Raw genomic sequence first — 14,295 nt, 5'->3', positions numbered from 1 at the left:
ATCACATCACAAAGAATGGGACATCCATCCTCTCAAGCATTTATTTTTCGAGTTGTGAACAATCTAATTACACTTTAAGTTATTTTAAAATGTACAATTATGTTATTATTGACCATTGTCACCCTATTGTGCTATCAAATAGTGACTCTCATTCATTCTAATTATTTTTTGTACCCATGAGCAATGCCCACCTCACCCTAGCTCCCCACTATCCTTCCCAGCCTTTGGTAATCATCCTTCTCTCTATGTTCATGAGTTCAAGTGGGTTGATTTTGAGATCCCACAAATAAGTGAGAACATATGATGTTTGTCTTTCTGTGGCTGGCTATTTTGCTTAACACAATGATTTCCAGTTCCATCCATGGCCTTGCAGATGACTGGTTCTCATTCTTTTTTAGGGCTGAATAGTACTCCATGGTGTGTATGTACCACATTTTTTAATCCATTCTTGATGGACACTCAGGTTGCTTCCAAATCTTAGCTATTGTAAATAGTGCTGCAACAAACACAGGAGTACAGATATCTCAACATACTGATTTCCTTTCTTTTGGGTATATACCCAACAGTAGGATTGTTGGATAATGTGGTAGCTTAATTTTTAGTTTCTTGAGGAACCTCCAAACTGTTGTTTATAGTGGTTGTACTAATTTACATTCCCACCAACAGTAAATGAGGGTTCCCTTTTCTCCAAATTCTCGCTAGCATTTGTTATTTCCTGTATTTTGCATATAAGCCATTTTAACTCCAGTGAGATGATGTCACACTTCAGTTTCGATTTGCATTTCTCTATCAATGATTTTGAGCACCTTTTCATATGCCTGTTTGCCATGTGTATGTCTTCTTTTGAGAAATATATCTTCAAATCTTTTTGGCCATTTTTGACCAGGTTATTAGATTTTTTCTTGTAGAGTTGTTTGAGCTTCTTACATATTGCAGTTATTAATCCTTTGTCAGATGGATAGTTTGCAATCATTTTTTCCCATTCTGTGGGTTATCTCTTCACTTTCTTGGTGTGTTATACTTTATTTTTCATTTATTATTTTTATTTAATTTTTTCATAAGTTATCGGGGTACAGATGGTATTTGGTTACATAAGTAAGTTCCTTAGCGGTGATTTGTGAGATTATGGTGCACCCATTACCCAAGCCGTATAGACTGCACCATATTCGTAGTCTTTTATTGCTCGCCTCCCTCCCACTCTTCCTCCCAAGTCCCCAAAGTCCGTTGCATCATTCTTATGCCTTTGTGTCCTCATAGCTTAGCTCCTACATATCAGTGAGAACATACAATGTTGAGTTTTCCATTCCTGGGTTACATCACTTAGAACAATAGTCTCCAATCTCGTCCAGGTCACAGGAAATGCTGTTAATTCATTCCTTTCTATGGCTACATAGTATTCCATTATATATATCTATATCTATATATCTATAGATATCTATATATATTTATCTATATCTATCTATCTATCTATATATATATATCTATATATCTATCTATATATATCTATCTCACAGTTTCTTTATCCACTTGTTGACTGATGGGCACTTGGGTTGGTTACACGATTTTGCAATTGTGAATTGTACTGCTATAAACTTGCGTGTGCAAGTATCTTTTTTGAATAATGATTTATTTTCCTCTGGGTAGATACCTAGTAGTGGGATTGCTGGATCAAATGGTGGTTCTACTTTTAGTTATTTAAGGAATCTCCACATTATTTTTGATAGTGGCATACTAGTTTACATTCCCTCCAGCAGTGTAGAAGTGTTCCCTGTTTACTGCATCCACGGCAACATCTACTGTTTTTTTATTTTTGGGTTGCAGGAGGTAAGGTGGTATTGCATTGTGGTTTTGATTTGCATTTCCCTGATCATTAGTGATATTAAGCATTTTTATTTATGTTTGTTGGCCATTTGCATATCTTCTTTTGAGAACTGTCCATTCATGTCCTTAGCCCATTTTTTGATGGGGTTGTTTTTTTCTTTCATACTGATTTGTTTGAGTTTGTTGTGGATTCTGGATATTAGTCCTCTGTCAGATGTATAGATTATGAAGATTTTCTCCCACTCTGTGGGTTGTCTGTTTACTCTGCTGACTGTTCCCTTTGCCATGCAAAAGCTCTTTAGTTTAATTAAGTCCCAACTATTTATCTTTGTTTTTATTGCATTTGCATTTGGGTTCTTCATCATGAAATCCTTGCCTATGCCAATGTCTAGAAGGGTTTATCCAGTGTTATTTTCTAGAATTTTTATAGCTCAGGTATTAGGTTTAAGTTCTTAATCCATCTTGAGTCGATTTTTATATAAGGTGAGAGATGAGAATCCAATTTTATTCCCCTACATGTGGCTCACCAATTATCCCAACATCATGTGTTGAAAAGGGTGTCCTTTCCCCACTTTATGTTTTTGTTTACTTTGTTGAAGATCAGTTGGCTGTAAGTATTTGGGTTAATTTCTGGGTTCTCTCTTCTGTTCCATTGGTGTATATGCCTATTTTTAAACCAGTACCATGCTGTTTTGGTAACTGTGGCCTTATTGTACAGTTTGAAATCAAGTAGTGTGATGCCTCCAGGTTTGTTCTTTTTGCTTAGCCTTGGTTTGGCTACATGGCTCTCTTTTGGTTCCATATTAATGTTAGAATCGTTTTTGTAATTCTGTGAAGAATGATGGTGGTGTTCAGATGGGGATTGCATTGAATTTGTAGATTGCCTTTAACAGAATGGTAATTTTCACAATATTGGTTCTACCCATCCATGAGCATGGGGGTGCGTTTCCATTTGTTTGTGTCATCTATGATTTCTTTTCTTTCTTGTTTTTTTTTTTTTTTTTTTTTTTTTTTTTTCAGAGGGAGTTTCGCTCTTGTCGCTGAGGTGGGAGTGCAATGGTGTGATCTCGGCTCACTACAACTTCTGCCTCCTGGGTTCAAGCGATTCTCCTGCCTCAGCTTCCCGAGTAGCTGGGATTATAGGCATGCGCCACCATGCTTGGCTCCATCTATGATTTCTTTCAGCAGTGTTTTGTAATTTTCATTGTAGAGGTCTTTTGATTCCTTTGCTAGGTATATTCCTAAGTTTTTTTTTTTTTTTTTTTTTTTTTTTTTTTTTTGCAGCTATTGTAAAAGGGGTTGAGTTCTTGATGTGATTCTCTGCTTGGTAGCTGTTGATGTATAGAAGAGTTACTGATTTGTGTACATTTATCTTGTATCTGGAAACTTTGCTGAATTCTTTTATCAGTTCTAGGAGCTTTCTAGAGGAGTCTGTAGGGTTTTCAAGGTGAAAGATCATATTGTCAGCAAGCAGTGACAGTTTGACTTCCTCTTTACCGATTTGGATTTCCTCTATTTCCTTCCTTTGTATGATTGCTCTGGCTAGGACTTCCAGTACTATGTTGAAGAGGAGTGGTGAGAGTAGTCTCCTCGTCTTGTTCCAATTCTCAAAGGGAATGCTTTCACCTTTTCCCCATTCAGTATTATGTTGGCTGTGGGTTTGTCATAGATGGCTTTTATTACATTAAGGTATGTCCCTTGTATGCCTATTTTGCTGAGAGCTTTAATCATAAAGCAATGCTAGATTTTGTTGAATGCTTTTTCTGCATCTGTTGATATAATCATGTGAGTTTTTTTTAAATTCTGTTTATTTGGTGTATCACATTTATTGACTTGCATATGTTAAACCATTCCTGTATCACTGGTATGAAACCCACTTGATCTTGGTGGATTATCTTTTTGATATGTTGTTGGATTCAGTTAGATAGTATTTTGTTAAGGATTTTGGCATCTGCGTTCATTAAGGATATTGGTCTGTAGTTTTCTTTTCTGGTTATGTCCTTTCATGGTTTTGGTATTAGGCTGATGCTGGCTTCATAGAATGAATTGGAAGGGTTTCTTCTTTCTCTGTCTTGTGGAATAGTGTGAAAGGATTGGTATCATTTCTTCTTTGAATGTCTGGTAGAATTCTGCTGTGAATCCGTCTGGTCCTTGGCTTTTTTTGTTGGTAATTTTTAAATTACCCTATCAATCTTGCTGCTTGCTTTATTGGTCTGCTTGGGGTATCTAATTCTTCCTGATTTAAGCTAGGAGGGTTGTATTTTTCCAGGAATTTATCCAACTCTTCTAGGTTTTCTAGTTTATGTGCTAAAAGGTGTTCATAGTACCCTTGAATAATCTTTAATATTTCAGTGGTGTCAGTTGTAATATCCCCTGTTTCATTTCTTAGTGAGGTTATTTGGATTTTCTCTCCTTTTCTTGGTTAATCTTGCTAATGGTTTATCAATTTTATCTTTTCAAATAACCAAATTTTTGTTTTATTTATGTTTTGTATTTTTGTTGTTGTTGTTGTTGTGTCAATTTCATTTAGTTCTGCTCTGATCTTGGTTATTTCCTTTGTTTGCTGGGATTGGGTTTGGCTTGTTCCTCCTTCTCTAGTTCCCTGAGATGTGAACTTAGATTGTCTGTGCTCTTTCAGACTTTTCGACGTAGGTGTTTAGTGCTATAAACTTTCCTCTTAGCACTGCCTTTGCTGTATCCCAGAGGTCTTGATAGGTTGTGTCATCCAGTTCGAAGAAATTTTTTACATTTCCATCTTGATTTCGTTTTTCACCCAATGCTCATTCAGGAGCAGGTTATTTAATTTCCATGTATTTGCATGGTTTCGAAGATTCCTTTTGGAGTTGATTTTCAGTTTTATTCCATTGTGATGTGAGAGAGTGCGTGATACAATTTCAATTTTCTTAAATTTATTGAGACTCATTTTATGGCCTATCATATGGTCTATCTTGGAGAAAATTCCATGTGCTGTTGAATAGAATGTGTATTCTGTGGTTGTTGGATGAAATGTTCTATATATATCTGTTAAGTCCATTTGTTCCAAAGTATAGTTTAAATCCATTGTTTCTTTGTTGACTTTCTGTCTTGATGACCTGTCTAGTGCTGTCAGTGGAGTATTGAAGTCCCCCACTATTATTGTGTTGCTGTCTATCTTATTTCTTATGTCTACTAGTAATTGTTTTATAAATTTGGGAGCTCCAGTGTTAGGTTCACATATGTTTAGGATTGTCATATTTTTCTGTTGGATGAGACTGTCAGGTGACAGATGATATACTGTCTCTCTTTGTCTCTTTTAGCTACTGTTGCTTTAAAGTTTGTTTTGTCTCATATGAGAATAGTTACTGCTGCTTGCTTTTGGTGTCCATTTGCATGAAATGCCTTTTTCTACCACTTTCCTTAAGTTTATGTAAGTCGTTATGTGTTAGGTGAGTCTCCTGAAGGCAGCAGATAGTTAGTTGGTGAGTTGTTATCCATTCTGTGGTTCTGTATCTTGTAAGTGGAGCATTTAAGCCATTTACAACCAACATTAGTATTAAAAAGTGAGGTACCATTGCTTTCATCATGCTCTTTGTTGCCTCTGTACTTTGTTTTTGTTTTTTAACTTGTATTTTTGTTTTATAGGTCCTGTGTGATTTATGCGTTAATGAAGTTCTGTTTTGATGTGTTTCCAGGATTTGTTTCATGATTTAGAGCTCCTTTTAGCAGTTCTTAGAGTCCTGGCTTGGTAATGGCAAATTCTGTCAGCATTTGTTTGTCTGAAAATGACTGTATCTTTCCTTCATATATGATGTTTAGTTTTGCTGGATACAAAATTCTTGGCTGATAATTGTTTTGTTTGAGGAGGCTGAAGAAAGGGCCCCAATCCCATCTAGCTTGTAAGGTTCCTGCTGTGAAATCTGCTGTTAATTTGACAGGTTTTCCTTTATAGGTTACCTAGTGCTTCTGTCTCACAGCTCTTAAGATTCTTTCCTTTGTCTTAACTTTGGATAACCTAATGACAATGTGCCTAGGCTAAGATCTTTTTGTGATGAATTTCCCAGGTGTTATTTGTGGTTCTTGTATTTGGATGTCTAGGTCTCTCACAAGGCCATGGAAGTTTTCCTAGATTATTCTCCCAAATATGTTTTCCTGGCTTTTAGAATTCACTTCTTCCTCAGGTACACCAATTAGTGTTAGGTTTCATCATTTAACAGAATGCCAGACTCCTTGGAGACTTTGCTCATATTTTCTTATTCTTTTTTCTTTGTCTTTATTGGATTGGGTTAAATCAAAGACCTTGTCTTCGAATTCTGAATTTCTTTCTTCTACTTGTTCAATTCTATTGCTGAGACTTTCCAGAGCATTTCACATTTCTAAAAGTACGTCCAAAGTTTCCTGATTTTTTATTTTTTTATTTAAGCTATCTATTTCCTTGAATAATTCTCCCTTCACGTATTGTATCATTTTTTGGATTTTCTTGCATTGGGCTTCATCTTTCTCTGGCCCCTCCCTGATTAGCTTAATAACTAACCTGAATTTTTTTTTAGATGAATCAGTGATTTCTTCTTTGTTTGGATCCATTGGTGATGAACTGGTGTGATTTTTTGGGGGGTGTTGAAGATTCTTGTTTTGTCAGATTACCAGGGTTGGTTTTCTGGTTCCTTCTCATTTTGGTAGACTCTGTCAGAGGAAAGGTCTAGGGCTGAAGACTGTTGTTCAGACTCTTTCATCCCACGGGGTGTTCCCTTGACGTAGTACTCTCCCCTTTTTCCTATGGGCATGGCTTCCTGTAAGCCAAAGTGCATTGATTGTTGTCTCTCTTCTGGGTCTAGCCACCCAGCAGGTCTACGTGGCTTTGGGCTGGTACTGGGGGTTGTCTGCATAGAGCCCTGTGATGTGAACCATCTTTGGGTCTCTGAGCCATGGATACCAGCGCCTGTTCCAGTGGAGGTGGTGAAGGGTGCAATAGACTCTGTGAGCCTCCTTAGCTTTGGTGGTTTAATGCTCTATATTTGTGCTGGTTGGGCTCCTGCCAGGAGGTGGTGATTTCCAGAAAGCATCAGCTGTAGTAGTGTGGAGGGACTGGCAGTGGGCAGGGCCTTAGGACTCCCAAGATTATATGTCCTTTGTCTTCCACTACCAACTTAAACATTTGTGACAGTTTCAATATCAGAAATTTATGTGTAATCAAATTTATTCTGGTAGCTTATTTTCTTCTATGCTTCAATCTTTATAATTTAGTTCTCACATGAGGGAGATCTAATATTGGAAATATTTTCAATGTGTATGTTTATGTATTTATTCTAGTTGTCCAGGCACAAGGTTATCAATGTTGCTGTGTGACCAGCCATTGGCTTTTCACATTTACAACCCCTCTGAATTTTTTCTTGCCTTATTTCTGGTGCTGGGAAATTCTGATATTTTCTCCTCATCTCCATTGTAAATTTTAGGGATTCTTGAAACTTTTGATGCACAAACATCCACACTTTCCACATAAGTAAAATATTTTACTTAGATATTTTCTAGCAGACACTGAGTTCTCATGAGAAATCCTCAGTCTCTTTATTTGGAACACCTCCTCCCCAGTATTCCATATGGAGTAGTTATGTGTAGAATGTGATTACTTCATTAATATGTCAAAGTATGGATATATTTTGAACACATTTCTGAAGTTGTAATTCCTTTCTTGATGAATTGTACCTGCGCATGAGCAGAATTGATGTTTTCTGTGGAGCAGTAAGTTAGCACTGGTAGAATCTGTTCTGTGATCCCAGGTCCTTGGGCTCCAGTGTCAATGCTTCCTCCTTAGATCCTCCCTGACACTGCAAATTTACCTCAGTCCCTATTTCTTAATCCAATAGCCATTTAAATTGATCTTCAATTACTTTGTATGTGGCCAGATATTATTTATGGGTTATATTCTAATTCACATTTTTCTGATATAATTTCAGAGAGCCTAGAAAATATCACCTAGTGAATATCTACTTCCATGAGGTCAGTGACACATTTTTAGGTCTTCAACTTCAATATTTAAAATATTTGTCTCTGGAATTTGAAAATAATATGTATGCCTTTTTTACTGGATAAAAAGGCTAATCAGTTGTTCATCTGATTAGTAATCAAAGTTTCTAAAATTTAATACTTCATGTTACTTTATGTTTTATATAAATGTGTATTTCTATGACAGTTTTAGTGTCACCTAATATTATTTACAATGTTGTAATTTTTATTTATATGAATCTTTGTGTTATACATTTTAACGTCATTGGTATTAAAACTATATGTGCAAATAGCTTGAAATAGCACCTAACACATCATGGATTCTATGTAAATATTCACCACTCTATTTCATCACATTTTAACCAATTGATACCATTCTTCATTTGCTAACATTTTGTTTGTCTTCATTCTAATTTGTGTTGGTGTCCTGTCTACATATTAATAAAAGAGAGGAGGTAGGCCCAGACTTCCATCTTGATTAAATACTAAGACAAATGGCACATTTTCCTAGTTCTATTTATATACAACATTACATTTGTCTGACATTATAAATAAGAGTATTCAGTTCAGTACAGCAAAAAAAAAAAAAGTAATCTTAACCTTCCTACAACAGATGTTGGGATATTCATGGATTGTCCACAACTTCCTTCTCCCAACATTATTGTTATTCTTACATCTCAACTGCCATGAAAACCTAGAAGCATGAAATACTACAAATTAGACACAGATTCCCTGCTATACACAAAGTGTAAAATTAAATCAAGAAGAAAGAGAATATATGCGTACTTATACAGCAAGTAAACAGATTAGACTAATGAAAACTCTTCATCAGTCTAGCCCTGGCTCACATAGCTTCACTAGTGAATTCTATTAAACACTTAATGAATAACCAATCCTTCACAAACACTTGCAAAGCAGAGAAGCAGGAAAACATCAATTCATTTTCAAGGCCAGTATTACCCAGATAACAAATCAGACAAAAGTATCACAAGAAAATAAAAGTGCAGACTATTATCCCTCATGAATGAAGACAGAAATCTCCAAAAACTCTAGCAAACTGGATGAAGCAACACATAAAAATGTTAGACAAGCCTGGCATGGCAGTGCACATCTGTAGTTCCAGCTACTTAGGAGGCTGAGGTGGCAGGATCACTTGAGCCCAGGAGCTTGAGGTTATAGTGAGCTGTGACTGTGCCACTCCACCCCAACCTGGGTGACAGAGTGAGGCCTCATCTGTAATAAAAATGAAAGAAAATTAGAAAAAAGTTAGACAATATAACCAAGTGGAATTATCCTACCAATACAAATTTAAAAATCAATCAGTGTAATACATCATATTAATAGAATAAAGGAAAAGACCATGATGATTTCAATGGACGTCTGACAATGTCTGACACTCATTCCTGATAAATCTTCCAGAAATCTAGCAATAGAAATAACTTCCTGAACCCCCTAAAGGACATCCATGAAAATTTAATAAATTCCACTAAGGTATATTGAAAGGCATATTGATACTTCCAACCTTATGGTTTTAAAAATTAACAATGAAATGAGAACTAATAACAGTAATCTATCCATCTGCAAAACATTAAACACCTTTCTAACAATATTTCTTTTGATGTGATAAAGGTAAACATCCAAATTTAATAAGAGGAGTGCTTTTGAGACAACTGAAATTTGGTGTTCCTAATTTTTCTGACTTATTAGCAATTAGAATCTAATTATCAATAATGCCAAGAAGACAGGAGTACTCTCCAATGACATTAAAATGTATAACACAAAGATTTATAGTTAGGCATAATGTATAACACAAAGATTCATTGTTTGGCATAACAGCACTTCATATTTGAATCATCTAATAACATTGTCATCATTGCATATTCTCCTGGAAGTAACACACAATACAGACTTCAAAAAACCAGAGCTTTTGCTGGGGATATATGCTCCTTCCAAAGGCGATTGATTGTGTGCAATATTCTGAGAAGTAATTCCTCCAAAGGTAAAGTGTCGCTATCTGGGCTTCTGGGAATATCCCGAAAATCCACATATTCTAAAAATCTTTTCCACTACCAACCACCATAAATGCTGAACAACAGAACATGCGCTCAACTGCACAAATTATGCTTTGGGGCTTTTGTACACAGTTTTTGCACAGAAATATTTAAGTAAATATAAATTAATTGAAATGTTTTCCAGGTGGATATTGAGGGAGAAACAGAAAAATCCAAGACAATCCCTTGTGGAAGAAAATTCTCCAACCCAAAACTCAACCGAACTCAAAGGGCTGAACAGCGCGTCAATTAAGACCTGTCAAATATAATCACACGATCTAATAGTTTTAAATACGCAAAATAAAGAGCACCAAAGTAAATGTCATTCAGAAATAACAACAACAAAACCAGAGCACCCCGATGCATTTAGGCCTCAAGGAATTCCAAAGTAGTGTATTAGGTATAGTAAATATATATGTAATTAGAAATGTTTAGAGAAATTAGAGAGATGTGTTTTTTTTAAAAGATTTGGCCTATAAAACAGTTAACAATTCCAGTAAAGAAGAAAACAGAAATTCAATGTTTGATATACATACATAAAAATAAATTTCAGGAAAAGTCCGTGTGATAACAGAATCCAAATTATATAAAAGATAGAAATCTCAATGTTTGTTTTTACACATTTTAAGGAAAAAACAACCCTGAAAGCACAAAATGCAGAAAATACTGTTAATAAGTCTTGAGTTTTCAAGTCCCTCTCACTGGCTTTGGCACTTAGAGAAGAGCTAGCACAGGCTCAGGATCCCCTAATGGGCATTTCTGCCAAGGAGACCATCCTCATGAAAATGGAGCCGAAAGCTATGCGCACAAGATGGATGGATGCTCCTCTCCCAGAGACCAGCAGGTGCAGGTGTGCAGGGAGTGGGCCAGGGAGGGGCTGTGAGCACCAACCTGGGAGGGGTGGCTAGACCTCCATTGGATCCTCCTGTCCGCAGGGGCCTCAGAGGGTTCCAGCAGAGGCCAGTCCTAGGTTCCTTGTCCCATGGCTGGCCCCTGAGACTTGCTTCACCTGCCAGCTCTTTCCACAAAGACATCAGGATGGCAAACCCAACCCAGCCCCCTCACAGAGAAAGGGGATTAATGTCAGGGCCCACGGCCATCCTGGCCTTTTCAGTAACTGTTTAAATAGTGGATAGGTTAGGCCAGAATGTGCTGCTGTGGCCCCTGGGATCACATCCCTGGAGGGAACCTGCCTGGGGTTGTGAACTGAAGGGCGAGGCTGGACAGCCCACTTGGGGTTCAGTGAGCCGAGACTTAGTTTTCGGCTCAGTTCCCTCTGCCACTCCTGGGGGACTTGGGCTTGTCTAGAGCAGGCATTGAGGATGGCAGAGAGCAGAGATGCTGAGCTGTCAGGTGGGTGCCAAAGGGTGAGCATGAGGCATCCCGAGGGTTGGAGCCATCAGAAGGCCCTTAGGTCAGCCCAGAGCCATCCCAGCCTCTGTACCTGGAGCTGCAGGGTGGGCGCTGTGCAGTGGGCTGGTCAGAGTGGACTGAGAAGCCAGTTAGGGAGGGGTTTTCATTGCCCATTTTCCTGCGGTGCAAATCAAGTTCCGAAGGCCACAAGCGAGGTGGGGCAGAAACACTGGGCTGAGGCATCACCTTCTCTCCTCTTTGGCTCACATAGGCCCCTGACTTTCTTGGGCTTGCCTGAAAGTGAGAGAAGATCCCTCTTATTGTGCGGGTGGACACAGAAGTCACCAGTCACGTGTGATGAGGAGGGCTGAGGCACCCCCAGAGTCTTTGCAGGGCAGCACCCACTAATTGCTGGGTGGACTGGGAGGCCAGGCTGGGACACTGGGAACTGAGGTCACCAGTCCCCACTGTACCTCGAATCTGTCCCCACCGTGCAACATTGGGCCAGCTCAGGCTCTGTCACCAGCTCCCCACATCGTCGTCCCTCAGAGCCCTAGGGTGGGTTCCCCCTACTCAGTGTCTCTGGCCCGTGCTCTCCACTTTCAGGCCTGACAAGCACCCAGGCCCCACACCAGTGTCTTTCTGAGGGCGTGGGTGTTGGGATCGCTGGTACAGAACTCACAGCTTAGCTACATGTGTGTCCCAGACTTGCTTAATCAATGGAGCAGTGAACCCGCTGCTTCTGGGGTACAGTCTCCTGTATTTCATGGGTCAGGTAGACAGGCTGCCTCCCCTTCACCTCCAGGTGTGCGCACCCACAGTCATCTCCACCTGCAATCCAGTCTCATCTGAAGCTGCACGCTCTGCAACAGACGCCTGTGCACGACCTCGCTGTGCACACAGCAGGGGCTGCCCTCGGTCCCTCACTCTCCCCTAACGCCCCTGCCTCCCAGACCCACGACTCACAGGAGGAGCCAGTCCCCTAGCCCAGGGAGCCAGGGTGGGTGCGGCCTGGGGACTGGGCATGGCAAGCTGGCCCATAGGGTCGTCCCTAGCACCTACCAGAGAGTGTACGAGGGAGCCGAGCCTGCAGCGCCGGGTGGGCAGCGAGCTCCCTGGAGACCCATGCAGCGGGTCAGGTGCCAGCGGCCGCCAGGTCTGGGCGCGGGGCCGGGCCACCAGGGTGCGGCTTTCCGCTCTGGAGAGTTTATGGCCCCTGTCGTGGGACGGCTGCGCAGCCGCCAGGGAGGGACTGCAGGGACCGCGGCTGGGACAGGCTGCTGCGCCAGGCGGCCCTGGACCGCCGCTTCTGCCCCTAAGCCGCCGTCGCAGCCCAGGTGACCGGTTTGTCCTACCCGGGGAGCATCGCCCTCCTCCGCCGGGCCCGAGCCCGGCGTGGGGGTTGTAGGCCGGCACCACAGCGTGAGGACACCGCGACCTCTGCCCCCGGGAGCGCGCTGAATGCCAGGTGGGGCTGCTGTCGCAGGCCGTGGAGCCGCAGCCCCGCTGAATGGCAGGGTCAGGCTGGGCGTCGGGGTCCTGGCAGAGACCGCGGCGAGGGCCAGAGCAGGTGCACTGGCCGCTGCACACGCGCCGCTAGGCTCCCGGACACCGCTGGCGCGCCCCCTGGTGGCAGCCGGCTCAGGAGCCGCGGGAGGGCGGTGCCCAGTCCCCAGCCAAGCGGCAGCGCGAAGCTCCTTCCCCGCTTGGGGGAGTGGGCGTGGCCCAGGGGCCCGACTGCCTTACTAGTGAAAAAGCTGGGGTTGGAGCTGCCACGGGGGGAGGTGGGGGGCCTAGGAGGCTCTCTCTGGACCTTCTGGGTGTCCTCCTGCGACCTCAGGTTCTTCACCTGTCTCAGAGGACTGATGGGCTGGTATGGCAAGGTTGTTTGGAGGATTAAGCCAGATAGTCGCAGTAAAGCCCCATTAGCCCGTCTGGCCTCTGGATTTTTTTTTAAATTATTTTTCTGGCTTTCTTAGGAAACTTTCCAGAATGTGTCCAGGTGTTGAAGCGGGAAGGCTGGACACCCTCCCTTGGCGTTGCGGTTCCTTCCAGACGCCCCCTCTTCTTAGGCTCTTTTCAAGCGCACGCCCAGCAACGTGTGCTCTACCCAAGAGCGCGTCACAGATCTTCCTGTGGGTCTAAAACCAGAAGGCTTTCTTCCATGACCCCTGCCCTCATATCACCGCAACGCCATGTCTCTTGGCAGAGCCGGCTACAGAATCGAGTGTCAGTTTAATGCTTGTTCCCTAAGGTCTCCCTAGGGCTCTTATGACGGCATTAGGGTTCGGGTTCGGGCGCGCCCCTCCGCGCCTGCGCCGGCGCTGCGCGCCCCTCCGCGCCTGCGCCGGCGCTGCGCCTTTGCGAAAGTGAAGCTGTGTTCTCATCAGCAGAGACTCGCAGAGCATGGCGAGGGCGCAGCTGCGTTCTTCTCTGCACATATGTCCGGAGTACCGCGGAGGCGGAGCAGCGTTCTCCTCAGCACAGACCCGGGCGGGCGGGCAGTCCAGGGGCACCCCGAAGGCAGAGCTGCGTCCTGATCAGCACAGACCTTGCGGGCATTACCTCGCTTTGGGACAACTCGGGGCCACAGCGACGGTAAATAAAATTCTTCCTCTTTGCAGCCCTCAACAATCAGGGTCAGAGTCCAGTTAGAAGGGTGAGGGTTAGGGTTAGGGTTAGGGTTAGGGTTAGGGTTAGGGTTAGGGTTAGGGTTAAGGGTTAGGGTTAGGGTTAGGGTTAGGGTTAGGGTTAGGGTTAGGGTTAGGGTTAGGGTTAGGGTTAGGGTTAGGGTTAGGGTTAGGGTTAGGGTTAGGGTTAGGGTTAGGGTTAGGGTTAGGGTTAGGGTTAGGGTTAGGGTTAGGGTTAGGGTTAGGGTTAGGGTTAGGGTTAGGGTTAGGGTTAGGGTTAGGGTTAGGGTTAGGGTTAGGGTTAGGGTTAGGGTTAGGGTTAGGGTTAGGGTTAGGGTTAGGGTTAGGGTTAGGGTTAGGGTTAGGGTTAGGGTTAGGGTTAGGGTTAGGGTTAGGGTTAGGGTTAGGGTTAGGGTTAGGGTTAGGGTTAGGGTTAGGGTTAGGGTTAGGGTTAGGGTTAG

The 14,295-nt window shown here is 42.1% G+C and overlaps 1 long non-coding RNA gene across 1 annotated transcript; it reads right to left on the bottom strand.

Moving 5' to 3' along the window:
* Window positions 1–8,719: 8,719 nt before the first annotated feature.
* On the bottom strand, window positions 8,720–12,575 carry LOC102723376 (uncharacterized). Its single transcript, NR_110795.1, has 3 exons — window positions 12,267–12,575; window positions 11,296–11,498; window positions 8,720–9,033 (listed from the first exon to the last, which is right to left on the bottom strand). It is a non-coding gene; the product is annotated as an uncharacterized LOC102723376 (long non-coding RNA).
* Window positions 12,576–14,295: the final 1,720 nt, after the last annotated feature.

The sequence above is a fragment of the Homo sapiens genome, chromosome 10 (genome assembly GCF_000001405.40).
Source record: "Homo sapiens chromosome 10, GRCh38.p14 Primary Assembly".
Taxonomy (NCBI): domain Eukaryota; kingdom Metazoa; phylum Chordata; class Mammalia; order Primates; family Hominidae; genus Homo; species Homo sapiens.
This window is presented reverse-complemented; position numbering and strand designations above follow the sequence as displayed.